The sequence below is a fragment of the Homo sapiens genome, chromosome 17 (genome assembly GCF_000001405.40).
Source record: "Homo sapiens chromosome 17, GRCh38.p14 Primary Assembly".
Taxonomy (NCBI): Eukaryota; Metazoa; Chordata; class Mammalia; order Primates; family Hominidae; genus Homo; species Homo sapiens.
Window position 1 is genome coordinate 68,507,214 of NC_000017.11, and position 20,269 is coordinate 68,527,482.

Below are 20,269 nucleotides of genomic sequence, written 5' to 3' on the forward strand. Positions count from 1 at the left end.
TCTGTGTGACAATAGCAAAGACATAGAATCAACCCAAATGCCCATCAATGATAGACTGGATAAAGAAAATGTGGTACATATACACTGTGGAATGCTATGCAGCCATAAAAAGGAATGAGATCGTGTCCTTTGCAGGGATGTGGATGGAGCTGGAAGCTATTATCTTCAGCAAACTAACACAGGAACAGAAAACCAAACACCTTATGTTCTCACTTACAAGTGGGAGCTGAACAATGAGAACACATGGACACAGGGAGCAGAACAACACACACTGGGGCCTGTTGGGGAGGCAGGGAGGGGGAGAATCAGCTAATGCGTGTGGGTCTTAATACCTAGGTGATGAGCTGATAGGTGCAGCAAACCACCATGGCACACGTTTATCTATGTACAAACCTGCACGTTCTTCTGCACATGTATCCCGAACTTAAATTAAATTAAAAAACAAACAAACATACATACATCTGAAAAACAGGAAACCACTATCTTTTCACATTAAAAAAAAAAGATCTGTGTGGGTGACTGACTCATCCCTATTTTTTAAAGCCTCAAATCCATGACAAAAGGTCAGCCTTGTTTAAAAACAGCTTAGGCCTAGGAGATTAGTATTCAAAGGAAGAACATTTTAGAAGAGATTCATACAAATATCTGGACTTCACTGAATACATGCTTGTGATAATTAATTTTGTGTCAACTTGGGTAGGCCATGCTACCCAGTTATTGGTCAAACACAAGTCTAGATGTTGCTGTGAATGTATTTTTTTTTTGTACATGCGATTATCATTTAAGTCAATAGACATTGAGTAAAGCAGATTACTCTCTTTAATGTTTGTGGGCCTCACTCAGTTGAAGGCCTTAAGAGAAAAGACTGAGGTTCCCTGAGGAAGAAGGAGTTCTGCCTTGGACTTGAGACTGCAGCATCAACTCTTCCTTGGGTCTAGGCTGCTGACCTGCCCTGCAGATTTTGGACTGTATATACCCAAAGAAATACAAATCATTGTATCATAAAGACACATGCATGCTTATGTTCATTGTAGCACTATTCACAATAGCAAAGACATGGAATCAACCTAAATGCCCATCAGTGGTAGTCTGGATAAAGAAAATGTGGTACATATACACCATGGAATACTATTCAGTGATAAAAAGAATCAAATCATGTCTTTCGCAGCAACATAGATACAGCTGGAGGCCATTCTCCTACGCATATTAACACAGGAATAGAAAACTACCGCATGTTCTCACTTATAAGTGGGAGCTAAACATTGATTACTCAAGGACATAAAGATGGCAGCAATAGATACCTGGAACTACTAGAAGGGGGAGTCGGGGAGCAAGGATTTAAAAACTATTGGGTACTATGCTCACTACCTGGGTGATGGGATCACTTGTACCCAAATCCTTAGCATCACACAATATACCCAGGTAACAAACCTGCACCTGTACCCCTGAATCTAAAATAAAAGTTGAATGAATAAGTAAATATGCTATTTTTGATGAAGATATGTTTTAGATTAAGATATTTTTACTTGGAACGCTTTAGTGTTAGATCCAAGTTTGCCACCCTTCTGGTTTCTTGGTTAATATTTTCAATTAATGCTCAAGATAAACACCCCTCCTTAGTTTAAATGAGCATTTGCCAGTGAGAAAAGTAGGAAGACATTTTGGCATTCGGGTGTTTGCTGGAATTAGTTATGTCTGAAACCACAACTTTGGGTCTCCTAGGAAGTATAAGTACTCAGTACCATTGTACACCATAAGTAGGTGGTGATGGACTTTGAAATTGGAAATACGTGGATCTGTGTTTAGCCAATGGAAACTTTAGGTGCAAGAACCACCAAGAAATGGACCACCAAAGTATTCCTTCCTTTCACGTTTTAGCTTTCTTAATTCTATTTCTGCTTATCACTCATGTTTATTTTGCTTTTATGGTTTTTGGTATTGTTTCACAAGCATTGTAACAGCAATTATGCAATTTCTTTTTCGTTTTTTGAGTGGGAAGGTCTTGCTGTGTGGCCAGGGCTGCAGTGCAGTGGTGCGATCATGGCTCACTGCAGCCTTGACCTCCTGGGCTAAAGCAATCCTCCCAGTACATGCGTGGGTCACCACATCTGGCTAATTTTTAAAATTTTTTTGTAGAGACGGCGGTCTCACTGTGTTGCCCAGGCTGGTCTTGAACTCCTGGGCCCAAGGAAGCCTCCAGCCTGGGCCTCCTAGAGTGATGGGATTACAGATGTTAGCCACCAGTTAAACAGGAAAATTTACTTATAATCCCACTACTCTAGAAACATATTTTTAAACTGAGTTTCTCAAGGACACAGTCCAAAGGAAAGGCTAACAGACCTTTGAATCAAGGGCAGAAGGCCTCTGGAGAAGGGAAACCATACAGAAACTACAGTGGAACAAATGTCATTTCTGAAACATAATTTACGAATACCAACAAGTTGGTATTCTCACAGTGGCACAGTGGCACTGAAAGAACATTTGCACCATTTGGAAAGCACTGAGGCTATTTAGTTTTTCAGAACAGCTGTCTCACTGAACTTTCCCCGGGCTCAACTGTCTACTGCCCATTTCCCTTTATGTCTCCTAAAGCCCCAGCATATGAGGATTTGGCACCTAGAACAAGGTTGAGTGTGACTGACACAGGAAATGGCCCGTGGCTGGACTGGCGCCTGCATGCAGCTGAATGGGGACACACAGCCAGGACTCAGCAAGGAAGCAGCTGTCACTCAAAGTGCTCAGCTCAATGTCAGCAGCTTGCTTGTTTCCTTATTCTTAGTGTCTTAACTGCACTTGGAAGGTAACACTAATGGTGGGACATAGTGTCACTCTGACTTAACCTTGTAGTTTGGGTAGCTCTGCAGGAAGAGGGAGAAATGGGAAGTAAATTAACATTCATTTAATATATCCCCCACTGTACTGAACACCATATATATATATGTAGACAGAGAGAGAGAGAGAGAGAGAGAGAGAGAGAGAGAGATCTATCTATTCTGCAATGGAGAGTGATTAAGATCACTGCCTGGGTTTAAGCCATGTTAGCTGTGTGGCCATGGGCAAGTCACTTAACTTCTCCATGTCTCATGTTTTTTTCTGTAACAATAACAATATTACCTATGTTAAGAGTTACTATGAGGATTAAATTAATTATGTGTAAAGCCCTTAGATCAGTGCTTGGAACACAGTAAGTGCTATACGTGTGTTTGCTGTTATACCCTTAGTAGTTAACTTCAACAAAGTCCTGTTCATCCTTTTATGACCGAGGAAACGGACACCCATGGAGATTAAGTCAATTACCGGACATGGCAGAGCCTGAAACCAAACTCAGATTTACCTGACTGCAATATTTTCTTCCCATAACATGACCGGGCCTGCTCAATGCTATCAAATTCCCTCTGCTGCTTGCCAGCGTAGGGTTCAGTTTATCAACCCTTCTTTGTACTGTCAAGAGTGAAATCCTATCTGACTGAGGCTCTTTTATCCCCATTTCTGATCAACCCTGGAGAAGGGCCAATGGTCAACATTTGGGGAGTCAGTGAAAGGAGAAACTTCCCTTTTCCATTCCCCCCTGTAAGCCTGATTGCCCTTTTGATATCGCCTATGTATCCCTATCAGAAGGCAGTGAATAACATAACTAAATAAATCATCTGATGGACAGTACCCTTAGAGCCTGGTGGATTTGGGGGAGCAGTCGGCCTCCGAGGGCAGCGCTGCCCAATAGGAATATAATGGGAGCCATCTGTGTAACTTTAAACTTTTTAATAGCTACACTAAGAATTAAAAAACAAAAGTGAAATTAACTTTAATATTTTACCTAATATATCAAAAATATTATCATTTCAATCTGGAATCAATATAAACACTATTGAGCTACTTTTTTGTATTGTGTTGAGTTCATGATTTACTTTAAACATACAGCCCTTGAAGTATATACAATGTTACTACAACAGCTCCTGGACACTTGCATATGTGTGTATTTTGCTTTTTTGTATTGTGTTGAATCCATTATGAATTTTAAGCACACGGCCCTAGAAATATATACAATGCTACTAAAGCAGCCCCTAGCCAGACACTTGGACATGTTTCCTTGATGGGCCTTCTTTATTGAGTTACAGACTTGATGTGTCTAAAATTGTACCGTCTCCCTTTTCTTCCTCCTTAGACAGATACTCTGATGGAAAAAAAAAATGGCTGAAAGAGTAAAGTCGCTTTTCCTCCGAATTTTCCCCATTAGTGCAGCTTGTCTGGACAGCTGCGATTTCTTGTTGGGTCACAGGGCATTTTTGACAATCTGCACGCTCTGCACTTCTCCCTCTGTGAGGTCAGGAGTGATGGGGGGGCACTTCAGGTTCTAGAAGGACTCAGGCCTCCTCTTGGACCCTGACAAAGTCCTTTCCCGTGCCTGGTTTCCACAGGGACGGTGTTGCCTGCACAGACGACAGCACCCCCGGCGGGGGAGAGCGGCCCCAGCGGAGACTCGGCAGGGCTCAGGTTTCCTGGACCGGATGACTGACCTGAGCCCGGGGCCCGGGCGGCGCTGGCCGGGCACAGGATGCGCGGCCCGGAGAGCGCATCCCGGCCATCCGCCCGCGCTCGGCCCCGCAGCGCAGCTGCTGCAGATCCGCGGGGGCCGCCACCTCCTCCGGGGGCTGGCAGCGACAGGACTCTCCCCGCCCCGGCCCGGGGCCCTCCCTTGCAGGGGCTGCGGGGAGGAGTCGCCCACCTGTCATCTGAGACGCCCCACGTGGGTCGGCCAGGGAGGGGGTGGAAAGGAGGGAGAAAAGGCAGAGGCGTCAAGGGAGGCCGGAGGGAGAGTGGGGTGGACAGAGGAGCGGAGGGACGAGAGGGAAGCGCACGATAGCTGCGCGGAGAGAGAGCGAAGAGCAGGCGGAGGAACAAAGGCGACCCAAGACACCCAGAGAGGGACAGGTAAGGAGGGGCAGGTGAGCAGGAAGGAGGAGAGAACCGGGCTAGGGAGACTGCGGAAAGGAGAAGTGGCGGGCGTGAGGAAACTGCTGTGGATAAGGGACGAGTAAGATGGAAAGAATGGCGGAAGACGAACGACCGCAGAGTGAGGGTCCTTCCAAGAGCGACCAGGGGGGAGGAACTGGGGCTGTTGCGCCCTTAAGGTTGCTAAGGCGACGGTTCTGGCCAGAGCGAGGCGCATTGACGTCAGTAGCCGAACGCTGATTGGCTGCGGCCAGGCCGTTTCCGGTGGAGCTGTCGCCTAGCCGCTATCGCAGAGTGGAGCGGGGCTGGGAGCAAAGCGCTGAGGGAGCTCGGTACGCCGCCGCCTCGCACCCGCAGCCTCGCGCCCGCCGCCGCCCGTCCCCAGGTGAGTGGGGTCGGCCGGGGGCTCAGGCGAGGTGAGCTTCGTCGCTTCGCAGCCGGTTTGCGGGAGCTGGACCGATCCAAGATGGCGTCACGGGGAGCGACCTGCAGGGGGACGGCCGCACCCCCTGCCCCTCCCCGGCCCGGCGGGCGCCTCCCCGCAGGCCTCACGCCCCCGGCTCCGAGTCTGCATCCTCAAGGCCGTCTGGGCGTTGGCTTTGGTGCGGGGCTCCCCAGCCGCCCCGCTCGCGCTCGCTGCCCCCACCCCACGGCTCCTGGGGCCCTGGGCCCTCCGCGGCCCTCCCCGGCCGCCTTCGCCCCCGCGCGCCGCGGCCTCTTCGCTCACCCTCCCCCATTTCCTGAAGGACAACGGCTCTATTTTACTGGGGTCCGCCATCGTCTCGTCCGCCGGTCCTGGCTCTTCTTGTAAGCCGGTAGTTTTCCTCTCCACTTTTGACGACTCGTCATTGCTAGCAGTAGCCTTTCCTCTTCATAGCGGAGTGATCTTTCCCCCAACACGACGGTCTTAGTCGGGCTCCTGAATTTCCTCTTGTCCCCTTTCACCTCTCTCCCTTTCCCAATTTTGCCCCCCTGAGGCCTCCTCGCCACCACTGTGGCCTTCCGACTGGCGTAGCTTGAAGTCTCGGCTTCCCTTCATTTTGTGGTCATGACCGTGGCCTACGTGAAGTGAAGGGCATTTTCCTGCCCTTCTTCTAGAAAATACACGGTACCTATTAACCTCTTCAGCTCAGAGCCTGTGGTGACGACCGTCCTACTCCTTGAGAGATTCCCAAGAGATCCGTCTTTTTAGCAGAGCGAGGAAAGCAAACACTTACTCAAGATGACCCTAGGGGAGCCGTAACTTGGCTGGTCTAAGGGGGTGCGGTCTGAATCAGGAACAGTTTCTCAAAGTGTTTTTATTTATTTCCCAGAATGTAATCCTTTCGAAACAATTTTGTCACAACTGAATTTTCAAAAGAATGAATCTGAGTGTTTTGTTTTACATAGAGACAATGCAGCGAAAGTTTTAAAGCAGTTAAATAATTGTGTGTGGGGAGGGAAGGCTAGGTTGTTGGGCTTTACAAATAAGTACACATAGAGAATCCGGGTAACTCGATTAAAAATATTAAGACTGTGAAGTCTGGTTATTCAGGGATTTACATGGTGACTGCATTAATTTTGGTACATTTCTGTTCGTATACTGTCCTATTACCGGTGGCTATCTTTTTGGTTTTCGTAATACATTAGTTGTTTCAAACAAAAACACAGTTTCACTCCTTAGGCCCAGTTCTCTCATCTCTACCAGCCAAAGACCTGATCTTAGAATGATTGATCATTTGAATGTTCTTAAAATATGACAATGCTTTGAAGCATGAAAGATCTGATTTATGATTGTTCTTGGTGGCCTTTAAGTATTATTTGAAATGCAGACAATTCTACTGAAGTGGATCTTCAGTTCATATGATTGCCTGACCTGGAGAAGTGGCTTGTATAAATCTATCCTAAAGTAAATGCGCGTTTTTGTTTTTGTTTTGCCTGTTTAAAGTAGCAGCATGATTATTTTTCCATGGCTTCTAATTTATGTGCTTGTCTTGGAGCCACGAACTTTCTAATGGTCTGTTAATTAGTCTACTTGTTGTTGACCTTTATGGTGAAAGTTGTCAAAACAAAATGAGTAACAGTGTAGCACTTTAGAATAGCTCTTTACTCTGTTAATTCTTTCTATAAGTTCTTTTAAATTTACAGTTTCATCTCAATAGTTTACAATGCATTATAATTGGAAAAGTCTGATTAGTATTGAATTCAGTTGCTGAGTGGAGGGGACCACACTCTTGTCTTCTACTCTTAAGTGCTTAGTAATTAGGAGTTGGAAGGAAAACAGTATATGACCCTGTTGTTAAATTAGTAAACTTTTAATTCTAGGGTAAGGTTAGCTGCTCATCATTATCTCTGTTTGCTTTACTTTACATAAAGGTACCATAATTCGAATCCTCTAAAATCCATTAAATGCAATTTATCCATTAAATGTAATCCATTAAATGCAATTTATCTATTGAATCTTCATGCAAGTTTGAAACTTAAGTGTTTTAACATTCTCCTGTCAAGATGAAGAAAATATTTTGACAATTTTCTGTCCAAATGTTTTACAGTTTATGTGGTAAGAATTCTCCCCTCCCCCAACTAAGGATTTTCCTTCTTTTACCACTAGTGTATTATCATTTAGGGGTGGAATCTGGCAAACGAGTCTGGAATAAAGGTTGCTTTTAAAACTCATCTAATTTTCTTGTGTGTTTTTAAAAATTTTGATTATGCTAGTAGTTGGCTAATCAGATCCTCACTCCAGTGGTTTGCTCTGTGACGTTAGGATACTCCCATGGGATAGAAGTTACGTATAGGGAATGTCAGATATTCTTCATTGTGCTGACTTGCTTTCGCTTACAGTTGACTTTTGTGCCCTGGTAATTCTGTATCCTGTTTACCGTTTACCTACTTCCCACGTCATCATGATTTCTTTTGAGGGAGAACTGAATGAAATTCCCTTAAGGGCCTGACTTCAGCACCCGTCTCTGCAGAGGTTAGTGGCTCATACTTCCTCCCAGGAGCTGAGGTTATCGACTCTCACTGTTGCCTACAGAGCACAGATCCTGAACTAAATGAAACATTTACTTGGAATAATGCTAATTCTGTACATATTTTATTCCCTAGTCCCCACTTCCCTGTTTAAAAACAAAATCTACTTAGAAAAAAATCCCTGTGAATCAGTTGTCTAATGAATTTAGCAAGTTAAATGCCAGATTGACATTTTGCTTTATAGTTTATACAAGCATGTGTGTGTTTTTTTCTCGCAGAGAACCATGGAGTCTGGCAGTACCGCCGCCAGTGAGGAGGCACGCAGCCTTCGAGAATGTGAGCTCTACGTCCAGAAGCATAACATTCAAGCGCTGCTCAAAGATTCTATTGTGCAGTTGTGCACTGCTCGACCTGAGAGACCCATGGCATTCCTCAGGGAATACTTTGAGAGGTTGGAGAAGGTAAAAATAAATGTGGGGAGATGATGAGGTGATTGTGACAGTTGTTACATTTAATAACTGGAATGTTACTAATTTGTATTTTTTGGAAGAAAAGGAATCTGACTAAATAAAAAGTCTAAAACAATTTCAAATAAGAAATACAGTTAAGGCATTTGTAGTAATTTAAAAATTCTTAATTAGTAGAATTTATCAGAAAAATGAACCTGTATGCTAACTGTACTTGGCTAATAAAGGGTTTCCAAACAATTCTTTGTAACTTTTTAAATTAGTGCGTAGAACTATAACAGATAAAACTGATCAGAACTAGTATAGCAGTTCTATGAATAAGAAATTCTATAGTTCTTAAAGGCAGTTAATGCTCCTCCCGTTTTGAACAAAGCAAGTAAGCGTAGTAAATCTTATCCCACTTTTAAAACTAGTGTAATGAAACATGAATCTAGCTTGTGACTGATATATCAGAAATTTTCAATTAGATTCGGTCTATTTTAGTATAGAGTATATCTGATAAATTACTGTAGAGATATTGATATTGATGTTCCTCAAAAATTTTACTCCATTTTATTGGTCAGGACTTGTTGCGCCTTGAAAAAAATTAATCCAATTTTTATTCTTTTTTGCTCTTCCTCCTTGCTTGTATGTCATTGTGACCTACGTATATGGCATATGTTTTTCTAAGCAAAGTGATAATTTTACATCAGGGATAATTGAAGCAAATGAATGCTTCAATTCATCTCCCTCAAGAAACGATGAATGAAAAAGTCTGGGTTACCAAATATTTTGAATAGTTTATGTGATTCGCTTCTGTAAATCAGTGAGAGAAACTTACTGATTTTCTTGTGCATGTGGAAGTTATGAGGTGGTTCATAATGATTATGAATTAATTGAAATGAATCATATACCAAAAGAAATGATTCATATACCAAAAGAAATGAATCATTTCTTTTGGTATATGATTATCTAATTGTATAATAGAAATAATTTGCTTTATTTTCCATTGGTTTTTATAGTTTCTTATAATCAGTATAGTTTATTAGTAAAAGAATCTGTACTAAGCTTTAAAAAGTATTTGGGTAGCTCATTGATCAGGTATTTTCTATTTTCTTTAAAAACTGATTGTTAAAATTTGTATTTAGTACCATGATCAGAATAATTAAAAAAAAAACAAAAACAACTAGTCACTGTGAATGTTGCTTTGCTGTCTTGGAATTATAGTAGATATTCTGGCTTTCTCTTATTTATGCAATTTCCAAATCATGGAAGTATTGTAGAGCCAGGTCATAGATGTAGCTTGTTTTGAAGTCAAGTGCATTCCTGGAGATCCGGTTTTGAAATGGGTCACTGTAAGGTGATCCCTCTTCTTTGGACATCAATAGAAACCATCAAATGAGAGGATTAAGTTGGTGAGACATTAAGTGTGTATCTTTTTATAGGGAGTGTTGAATGTGTGATGCTAGTTTCAAAGCTTGTAGTTGCCACAGTACTGTTTAAAGACTAACAAAGGTGGAAAGCAATAAATAATTATTAAAATGGTTTCTTTGCAGATGGAATTTTTAGATTTAATGTGTTTCAGCTTCTTTAACTTTTAATAATTAAAGTCACAGTTCAACATGGTTTTTGCTGTAATTCAAGGGTCTTTGTTCACATGTATACATTCCTTCCAGGGTTGAATATAGATACCTGGACCTTTAAGTAATTAGATTTTCAACTTGTTAGTGGGTCATAGTTCTGTGTATTAGGTGTTAATTTGTATGTTAGTCTATTAGTCCGTTGTCATGCTGCTAATAAAGACATACCGAGGCTGGGTAATTCATAAAGGAAAGAGGTTTAATTGACTCACAATTCAGCATGGCTGGGGAGGCCTCAGGAAACTTACAATCATGGCAGAAGGAGAAGCAAACCCATCCTCTTCACATGGCAGCAGCAAGGAGAAGTACAGAGCAAAATGGGAAAAGTCCCTTATGAAACCGTCAGCTATCGTGAGGACTCACTCACTATCATGATAACAGCATGAGGGTAACCCCCCTGCCATGATTAAGTTACCTCCCACCAGGTCCCTCTCAGGGCACATAGGGATTATGGGAACTGCAATTCAAGATGAGATTTGGGTGTGGACACAGCCAAACCATATCATTCCACCTCTGGCCCCTCCCAGATCTCATGTTTTCACATTTTGAAACACAGTCATGCCTTTCCAACAGTCCCTCAGAGTCTTAACTCATTCCAGCATTAACTCAAAAGTTCAAGTCCAAAGTCTCATCTGAGGCAAGGCAAGTCCCTTCCACCTATGAGCCTGTAAAATCAGAAGCAAGTTAGTTACTTCCTGGGGTCATTGGGTAGATAACACCCATTCCAAATGGGAGAACTTGGTCAAAACAAGGGGAGTATAGACCCCGTGCAAATCCGAAATCCAACGAGGCAGTAATTAAATCTTAAAGTTGCAAAAGGATCTCCTTTGACTCCATGTCTCACATTCAGGGCACACTGATGCAAGAGGTGGGCTCCCGTGGCCTTGGGCAGCTCCGCCCCTGTGGCTTTGCAGGGTACAGCCCCCCTCCTGGCTGCTTCCATGGGCAGGCATTGAGAGTCTGTTGCTTTTCCAGGTGCATGGTGCAATCTGTTGGTGGATCTACCATTCTGGAGTCTGGAGGATAGTGGCCCTCTTCTCGTAGTTCCATTAGGCAGTGCTGCAGTGGGGACTCGGTGTGGGGGCTCCAAACGACCCCACATTTCCCTTCCGCACTGCCCTAGCAGAGGTTCTCCAGGAGGGCCACGCCCCTGCAGCAAACTTCTGTCTGGGCATCCAGGCATTTCTGTACATCTTCTGAAATCTAGGGGGAGGTTCCCAAACCTCAGTTCTTGACTTCTGTGCACCCACAGGCCCAGCACCACTTGTAAGCCACCAGGGCTTGGGGCTTGCACTCTCTGAAGTAATGGCCAGAGCTGTACCTTTTAGCCAAGACTGGAGCTGAAGCAGCTGGAACGCAGGGTACCATGTCCTGAGGCTGCATAGTACAGGAGCCCCAGGGCATGGCCTAGGAAACCATTTTCCCCTCCTAGGCCTCTGGGCCTATGATGGGAGGGGCTGTCCTGAAGGTCTGTGACATGCCCTGGAGACATTTTCCCCATTGTCTTGGTGATTAACATTTGGCTCCTTGTTACTTATGTGAATTTCTGCGGCAGGCTTGAATTTCTCCCCAGAAAATGGGATTTTCTTTTCTATTGCTTTGTCAGGCTGCAAATTTTTCAAGCTCTGCTTCCTCTTGAATGCTTTCCTGCTTAGAAATTTCTTCCACCGGATACCCTAAATCATTTCTCTCAAGTTCAAAGTTCCACAGATTTCTAGGGCAGGGCCAAAATACTGCCAGTCTCTTTGCATAGCGAGAGTCACCTTTACTCCAGTTCTCAAGTTCCTCATCTCCATCTGAGACCACCTTAGCCTGGACTTCATTGTCCATATTACTATCAGCATTTTGGTCAAAGCCGTACAAGAAATCTCTAGGAAGTTCCAAACTTTCCCACATTTTCCTGTCTTCTTCTGAGCCCTCCAGACTGTTCCACCCTCTTCCTGTTACCCAGTTCCAAAGTTGCTTCTGCATTTTTGGGTATCCTTGTAACAGCACCCCACGCTCTGTGTACCATTTTACTGTATTAGTCTGTTCTCATGCTGCTAATAAAAGACATACCCAAGACTGGGTAATTTATAAAGGAAAGTGGTTTGACTCACAGTTCCTCATGGCTGGGCAGGCCTCGGGAAGCTACAATCATGGCAGAAGGGGAAGCAAACACATTCTTCTTCACATGGCAGCAGCAAGGAGAAGGGTCAAGCAAAAGGGGGAAAAGCCCCTCAAAACTGTCAGATGTCATGAGAGCTCACTATCACCAGAACAGCATGGAGGTAACCACCCCTGTGATTAAATTACCTCCCACCAGGTCCCTCCCACAATATGTGGGGATTATGGGAACTATAATTCAAGATGAGATTTGGGTGGGGACACAGCCAAACCATATCAGTCTGAAAATACAGTCATATTCTCATCACCTTCTTCGTCATTACTGGGGGGTTGTGTTTCTGTTACCTTCAACTACTCCATAAGAAATGTACCAAAAACTCTTGACAGTTGGTCTTTTGAAAGCTTCTGCATTTTAATTCAGTCATCTGGAATTTGAGTCTTCTTTTACTCTTGTATTTATTAGACCCTTAGGTAAGAGGAATTAAAATAACAGTGACCTTGTGTCTGCTGTGTCAGGTACTGTGTGAAGCACTTTATATACATAAATACTCGTTATTTCAAATGTACGAGGTATGTGATTTTCAGCATTTTATAGACATAGCAGTAAAACTGAGAGAAATTAAGTAATGTGGCTGTGGTTATAGACTGTAGTCGTCAGCTTTTGCTGGAGCAACATACAACCCCCAAATTTCAGTGGTTACTACAACAGACCAGTCATGTGCAGTTCTTCTGGTATCAGCCTGTCTTATGTTCTTGACACCACATATCTTGTTCTGGGGCTGAGCAGAAGGAGCAGCCCTATATAGGGCATGCTGTTCTCAAAGCAGAGGGAGGGCAGAAGCTCAAGGTGGACAGAGCCAAACCACACAGGCAACCATGGTATGGCATGTCCACTTACATTCCATGGCCAGAGCAAGTCCTGTAGCCAAGCCTTAAGTCAGTGGGGTGGGAAGTATACTTTACCCACAGGGAAGAGTGACAGAAGCAGGGAGGGAACAAATAATCGGGAAAACATAGTAGTGGGGACAGAATTTGAACCTAAGAGTCAAGAAGATAGTGCAGAATTTAATGCAAAACCGAATGCAGAATTTGAACCTCAGAGTCAAGAACATAATTAACCACTGAGTAGACTGGGAGGTTTTTTCTAATTTTTAATTTTTTATTGATATATAACATTTGTATGTTTTTATGGAGTACATGTGATATTTTACAGGCATAGAATGTGTAATGATCACGTCAAGGTATTTAGGTTATTCATCACCTCACTTAAAGAGCTGAGGAGGAAGGAGACTGACAGAAGGATGACAACAGCAAGAGAAAGGATATAAAAATATATCATAGTATATACTAGAAAACTCATGATCTGAGTAATGGCTCTGAGTTGTCAGATTAGGTTATATTCAGATTGCTGTTTTTAAAAGACTCACTAGAATCCATGAGACACTGCTAAAATCAGAATGCTTTTGTTACTTCAAAATTAATCTTAAAAATTCAGTGAAGTAGAATGTAGTCCCAAGTGAAATGTTATTTGTGAAATTTTTCCTGAAATTTTTGTGAAATGTCAGTGACAAATTTGGGGGTGGGAGAATTTGTGTTTTCATTTATACTCTTAAACTGTGTGTGTGTTTTATTTTATTTTTATTATTATTTTTTTGAGACAGTCTTGCTCTGTCACCCAGGCTGGACTGCAGTGGTGCAATCTCGGCTCACTGCAACCTCTGCCTCCTGGGTTCAGGCGATTCTCCTGCCTCTGCCTCCTGAGTAGCTGGGGCTACAGGTGCCTGCCACCACACCTGGCTAATTTTTGTATTTTTAGTAGAGATGGGGTTTCACCATAATGGCCAGTCTGGTCTTGAACTCCTGACCTTGTGGTCTGCCCACCTTGGCCTCCCGAAGTGTTGGGATTACAGGTGTGAGCCACCATGCCTGGCCTATTTTTTGAGACAGGATCTCACTCTGTTGCCCAGGCCTGAGTGCAGTGGTGCGATCATGGCTCACTGCAGTCTCTACCTTCCAGGCTCAGGTGATCCTCCTGCCTCAGCTTCCCAAGTAGCTGGGACTACAGGTGTGTGCCACCACGCCCAACTAATTTTTATGTGTTTTTGTAGAGATGAGGTTTTACAATGTTGCCTAGGCGGGTCTCGAACTCCTGGACTCAAGTGATCTGCCACCTTCGGCCTCCCAAAGGGTTGTGATTATAGGCGTAAGCCACTGTACCCAGTCATGTATTCTTAAACTTTAAACTTGGGAGAGACTTGAGTTTTATACCTGTGTTAATATGAAATGAGAAAACCTTACTGGTTATTGGAACAACCAGAATTAACATGAAATGAGTTTTCTAAAAACCATATTTTAAAAAGTAGGTTACATATTCACATATTTCAAAGTTGTGCAGGTACAAAGGGGCATAATAATGAAAGGTCTCCCTCCCACGCCATTGCTTTTCTTGAATGCTGCCAATGTTCTGGAGATTAATATATGGGCACTTACAAATTTATATATAGAAAAGAAATAACGGGTCAAATGAATGAGAAAGTAGAAGATAACACATTTTTATTTTTTCCCTTTTACTTCAGGCACAACAACTAATTCTTTAGATCTGAGAGGAATTTGTTTTTAAGGCTCTAGATGTGAAAAAAGGAATGTTTAATAGTTTATCTTAGGTTTTATTTGAATTGGTCCAATAAGTAGTTTTTAAAAGCAAGTAAACTCTTTTTGTCTTTTAACTTCAAGTTTAAACCTTGATTACAAAGAGTGATCCTAGCTCTGCTGGGAGAAGTATTATAGATACGATCTCGTTTAAATTCGTGGTTACCATCACATCATTTCATTATTTGTTTTTATCTGGGATCAAACTGGAATGTGAATTCCACAGGCTCAGGACCCTCTCCTATTTGTTTTTAATTTCCTGTTGCCTAGCATAGGTCTTGGCCTGGCAGATCCAGAAAATGGCTTATTGAGTTAATGAAATAACTCAGTAATCTAGACATTCTTGGATCACTATGTTGGGCTTGAATTGTTTTTCCTGATAACATTTCTTTTGGCAGGAGGGTCTCTTGCTATCTGCAGTAGCATCCAAAAAAACCCAATTTTCAGGATTTTGTCTTGCAGTGTGTTACTGTTGTGTGCATCACAGATAATTGTTGTCAAGACATTAATGAATATCTGATTTGTTACTCACATGTTATGTGAGTACTAATGGCTTGTACTAATGACTTTTGCCCATTAATAAAGGATAGCATCTGTTATCATCTGAGGTACATTCTGTTGAGAGTGTTTCAAGTGTTACTCTCTTTTTTTCCCCTTTGGAATTGGTGTTTTCCTCTTAACTTACATTGTTAATGGAAGAAGAGATTGGAAGTGACTGAGATAGACTATCATTGGAACATGAGAGTGCCAGCTTTACATGCCGAAGGATCTCATTTTGCAAACTCGTAATTTCTTTCAGGAGGAGGCAAAACAGATTCAGAATCTGCAGAAAGCAGGCACTCGTACAGACTCAAGGGAGGATGAGATTTCTCCTCCTCCACCCAACCCAGTGGTTAAAGGTAGGAGGCGACGAGGTGCTATCAGCGCTGAGGTCTACACGGAGGAAGATGCGGCATCCTATGTTAGAAAGGTAGTTTTGATATTTGAATATCGGGGGGATGCTTTTGGGACCCACTTGGTGGTCATCTAGTCTCCTTTGATGAATGAATCATAAAATACAAAACAGGGTGGAACTTCATCCATCCTGTACAATTCTTGGGTACTGGAAAACAGGTTTCTGTAATAGCATGCTGTCAGAGGAAATAACTAATAGTGATTATGAACTAGTGAATAATTGCATTTTGGGGTTTGTTATTTCCTTGCAGTTGTTTTGCAGTAGAAGGAGGTGGGCGGTATTGCTTTTTCTCTTGAATCGTGATGTCCTTTTTTTGCTATCCTATTAAATGTTGTGGCTTTTAACCTTTTATTCTACGAGCCTCATTTGTCCTGTGTTCTCCTCTTCCTCAGAGCCAGGCTATTTTGAGTTATGCTGTTAGCCTTAAAGGGGAACAGAATTGTCCTGGCACTTGAGGCTTGTGAAGCTAACAGATCACAGATTTTTAAAATGACTAATTATTATAAAATACTTAGTTTTGCCTCAGAATAATGACCTTGGTCCAGGTGTTTTGATTTGTTTCTTTAGTTGTTAACTGGGAACCAAGTACCAGACTTTATATTTAGGCCTGGCTGTAGGCAAGGGGATTAATTAGTCAATACTTGTTGAGTAGTTTATGGATCAAAGATAGTACAAGTGTGTTGTAGTGAAACACTACAAAGCAGTCTTGTTTAAATACCATAATGTGGCTTGACATTTAATTGAAGCGCAGGTTGCAAACGTGAAATGTTTTTGGTTTATGGAATTGTCATTTGACCTTCAGTTCTTTTCTAGGTTATACCAAAAGATTACAAGACAATGGCCGCTTTAGCCAAAGCCATTGAAAAGAATGTGCTGTTTTCACATCTTGATGATAATGAGAGAAGGTAGGAACAGGCTCTTTCTTAACACTATTTTTCAAGTAAGGGTGTGATCCCAAATTGTTTTCAACACTTGTTGCAAGTTTTAGAGCTCTTAGTAATTGTTCACCAGATGACAGTCTGGGGTCTTTAATTCTAAGCTTAATGTTTGAAATTCACGGAAGAGACATGTGAAATGTAACACGAGGCCTTCTCTCTTTTGCAGTGATATTTTTGATGCCATGTTTTCGGTCTCCTTTATCGCAGGAGAGACTGTGATTCAGCAAGGTAAGGGCCTCTGGAGCATGCAATATTGTTACGGGAGAGGAGGCGAGACTAGAGGATTTTTTTGGTTTTGTTTTATTGAAGTTTGTTTTCCTCTTTGATCCTACCACTTTTTTTTTTCTGTTATACTATTGGATTTTTCTATTTCTTTTAAATTAAGATTTTCTGAGATGGACAGAACACTTTGTATTGGGAACTAATATTTTTGATACAGTTTTGTTTATAATTTAAAGGAAATGCCTACATTGTCTTACCTTGAATGTCATATAGAATTGCAGAATCATATATATCTCTCATGTTCTTTATATTGTTAATCACTTTTAAAGTAAGAAATAAATGAAACACCTACATTCTTCATTGTATAGCCCTGTCTATTAAAAAGGTTCTAGGACTTCTATAGATTCTTACTTTGCCTATATAGACTAACATGGATCTAACTTTTTGACTATCTTCCTCTTTTTATTTTCTTATTTATTCTTGACATTTTATGAGTGGGTATATATTTTCATTTTGTGGCAGCCTGATAATTTGTTATTAACTATTTGAGTTGTTTCTAATGTCCTTGTTATAAATGCCATAGCAGTTAATAACTACACATATGTAGCTTTTAAAAATTTTTTTCAGAGGTATTCTTCACCATGAGATGACTAAAAAAATTTTGATTAATTCTATGACTTTTAAAATATGTTGCTTGATTTTCTTTCCCCTGAAAGATTGTGTTAGTTTGTAACACACTCTCACAGTACCACTGTAAAATAAGTTTATTGTTTTGTAATAATTTTGATAATTTCTTTCTTTAATTTGGAATATGCTTCTAACTTTTTTACCCTCTTTTAGGTGATGAAGGGGATAACTTCTATGTGATTGATCAAGGAGAGACGGATGTAAGATTTACCAATATCAAAAATATGTTGATCTTAAAAGCCAATGTATTGATCGCTTCCGAGCAATAAGAATAGTGATTTTGAAGGGTCATTACATCCCTTGTATGTCAGATTTTATTAATACCTTTTGCCAAGTATTTTTATGACACAGAGAAACTCTTTAAAGGTAATTTTCTGTTCAGAACTTTGCTGGAGTGGTGGTGAAGAAGTGTGTGTAGCTGGGTGCAGTGGCCGATGCCTATAATCCCAGCACTTTGGGAGATGGAGGCAAGAGGGTTGCTTGAGCCCAGGAGTTCAAGACCAGCCTGGGCAACAAAGTGAAACCTCATCTCTTAAAAAAAAAAAAAAAAAAAGATTCTAGACCCAGCCATTAGCTAGCAAAATTAATATACCTTTCTTATTCACAAATGAAATGGGGACAATAATAGCATTGATCTTTTAGGATTATTAGAAGATTCAGTGACCTAATGCAAGTAAAATGTTTAGCATAGTGCTCAGCACGGTTCTCTAAGTATCTGTGACTGGTATTAGTGCTTAGCTGACCTTTTTCCCTTACATCCTTACAGAGTGCTTTTTTCTTATCAGATAATTAAATCAGGTAAATTATAGACACTCTTAACTCATTTAACTCGTCAGAAATCACCTATTCTTCTCTGTTGTGTACTGCAAACATAATATATTCTGTTTTTTAAAACAAAGTTCAGGATTGTGACCTTTTAAAAAGGTTTGAGGGTTTTTAACATTTAAGTGTTTGTATCTAGAAAATAAACTTTTTTGATGTCACTTGCACTTTAGGTCTATGTTAACAATGAATGGGCAACCAGTGTTGGGGAAGGAGGGAGCTTTGGAGAACTTGCTTTGATTTATGGAACACCGAGAGCAGCCACTGTCAAAGCAAAGACAAATGTGAAATTGTGGGGCATCGACCGAGACAGCTATAGAAGAATCCTCATGGTAAGAGACCATGGTGTTTGAGAGTGTGATTTAGAATTCTCATCTACGTAACTAATGTTTGAATATTACCAAATTAAAAAGAGAATATTTCTTTTAATGAGCAAATATTTCTTTCTTTTAATAAGCGAATATTTTTCTTTTAATGAGCAAATACTTTGCATTAAGCCCAGCTTAGCATTATTCATTATGCCATTTTAGGCAGTGATATTTTAGAACAAAACCTTGGGAAACAAGATCTGGTATATATGTGCTGGTCATCTCATGTTTGGAAATCTATCCATTTGCTGGTAGGCACATCTTAATTTACCTAGTTATACCCATTACAGCATGATAGGTGCTGCTTTTAAGTGCTTAAAGTTATTTGGGGCCATTCAGAAATAATCAGCTTCCCTAACCTGTGAAAGTGGGTTATCAGTAATGTATATGTATGTCATGTCCCCTCTCGTTAAAGGAATAAACAAAATACTAAAACCATTGGAACTTTCTGGTGATAGTCAGATTTTTTGAGAACGTTGTGATAAATTTATAGGATAGCTTTGGATGTTTAAGTCTCAGCCAATGCATTGGTCATTTTTAATGGTTTTCTTAAATTTGTGCAGTGTCCATCTGACCATTTGAAAATGTACAGCCTGATGTACTTTGAAATTTTTCTGCATTTGGGATATATAGATAGATTAGATTAGATAGATAGTCTTGTCCTTCGCAGCAACATAGATAGAGCTGGAGGCCATTTTTCTAAGCAAAATAACACAGGAACAGAAAACCAAACCACATGTTCTCACTTACAGTTGGGAGCTAAGCAATGAGAACACGTGGATACTAGAAGGGGAACAACAAACACTGGGGCCTACTTGAGGGTGGAGGGTGGGAAGAGGGAGAGGATCAGGAAAAATACCTGTGGTGTACTTTACTTATTACCTGGGCAACAAAATTACCTGAACACCAAACCCCTGTGACACCCAGTTTACCTATATAACCTGCACATGTACCCCTGAACCTTAAACCCACACACACAAAAAAACGCTTATGGCAAAGATAAGTCTAAATTTTAGAAAGATTGGTTTTGAAGTGATGTGACAGTCTACTGGAGAAGAAACTGACCATACAGTTAGTTCTGCATTTCCTCTACAGGAATACTATTAGTAAAAGGAAACATAGAATGTTTACAGCTTTATCTCATTGTCAAAGAAGGAAGAGGTAGGACCTGGAACTATTGGTTTGAAATAAAATATTTTACTTTCTCATAGTGGGCCTGAAAGGAAATTAGGGCCTCACAATGCTTTGGCTTTGTGGACAGGAATTAGGAACTGTAGATATGGGGTGAAATATCTATATAGCTGGGTAGGGGAGGATATGGTCCTTTTTTTATAGAATAAAGACATGTCAATTGTATAGGTGAGAAGCCAGAACTAATGGAGGAATCTGCATTTAAATACCAGCGTTGAACAGGAAGAACACTAGGATTATTGGGTTGTAAATGACCTAGATTACTTTTGTGAGAAAATATTTTCAGAGATAAATTGGGTTGGCAGTGGCACAAAATCAGTTTGAGAGTAAACATGGAAATTGG

At 41.3% G+C, this 20,269-nt stretch overlaps 1 protein-coding gene across 11 annotated transcripts in view, besides 5 other annotated features; it reads left to right on the top strand.

The window, feature by feature from the left end:
• The window catches only part of PRKAR1A (protein kinase cAMP-dependent type I regulatory subunit alpha), a 137,694-nt gene that overhangs the window by 93,591 nt on the left and 23,834 nt on the right, over nucleotides 1–20,269 (top strand). For 2 of the 11 annotated variants that reach the window (NM_001278433.2, NM_001276290.1), the window contains 6 exons: nucleotides 8,181–8,363; nucleotides 15,543–15,713; nucleotides 16,512–16,603; nucleotides 16,803–16,864; nucleotides 17,699–17,745; nucleotides 18,541–18,699. In NM_001278433.2, coding sequence (NP_001265362.1) covers nucleotides 8,187–8,363; nucleotides 15,543–15,713; nucleotides 16,512–16,603; nucleotides 16,803–16,864; nucleotides 17,699–17,745; nucleotides 18,541–18,699 — 708 coding nt within the window. In that variant the 5' untranslated portion in view covers nucleotides 8,181–8,186. Of the gene's footprint in view, nucleotides 1–4,786; nucleotides 4,930–5,165; nucleotides 5,766–7,773; nucleotides 7,907–8,180; nucleotides 8,364–15,542; nucleotides 15,714–16,511; nucleotides 16,604–16,802; nucleotides 16,865–17,698; nucleotides 17,746–18,540; nucleotides 18,700–20,269 lie in introns of those variants that run through there. The other 9 variants (NM_001369389.1, NM_001276289.2, XM_047436370.1 and 6 more) reach the window with 9 other exon arrangements.
• Nucleotides 4,398–4,757: a silencer, noted in NCBI's record as "silent region_8903". NCBI's record gives its function as "represses an Ori minimal core promoter by ATAC-STARR-seq in GM12878 lymphoblastoid cells {active_cell/tissue: GM12878}" and the evidence as "EXISTENCE:reporter gene assay evidence [ECO:0000049][PMID:35858748]".
• Nucleotides 4,398–5,687: a biological region, named in NCBI's record as "H3K27ac hESC enhancer GRCh37_chr17:66508045-66508618".
• Nucleotides 4,691–5,264: an enhancer, noted in NCBI's record as "H3K27ac hESC enhancer chr17:66508045-66508618 (GRCh37/hg19 assembly coordinates)". NCBI's record gives its function as "activates a minimal SCP1, AML or CMV promoter by ChIP-STARR-seq in naive H9 embryonic stem cells {active_cell/tissue: H9 hESC(naive)}" and the evidence as "EXISTENCE:reporter gene assay evidence [ECO:0000049][PMID:30033119]".
• Nucleotides 5,018–5,107: an enhancer, noted in NCBI's record as "active region_12650". NCBI's record gives its function as "activates an Ori minimal core promoter by ATAC-STARR-seq in GM12878 lymphoblastoid cells {active_cell/tissue: GM12878}" and the evidence as "EXISTENCE:reporter gene assay evidence [ECO:0000049][PMID:35858748]".
• Nucleotides 5,178–5,687: a silencer, noted in NCBI's record as "silent region_8904". NCBI's record gives its function as "represses an Ori minimal core promoter by ATAC-STARR-seq in GM12878 lymphoblastoid cells {active_cell/tissue: GM12878}" and the evidence as "EXISTENCE:reporter gene assay evidence [ECO:0000049][PMID:35858748]".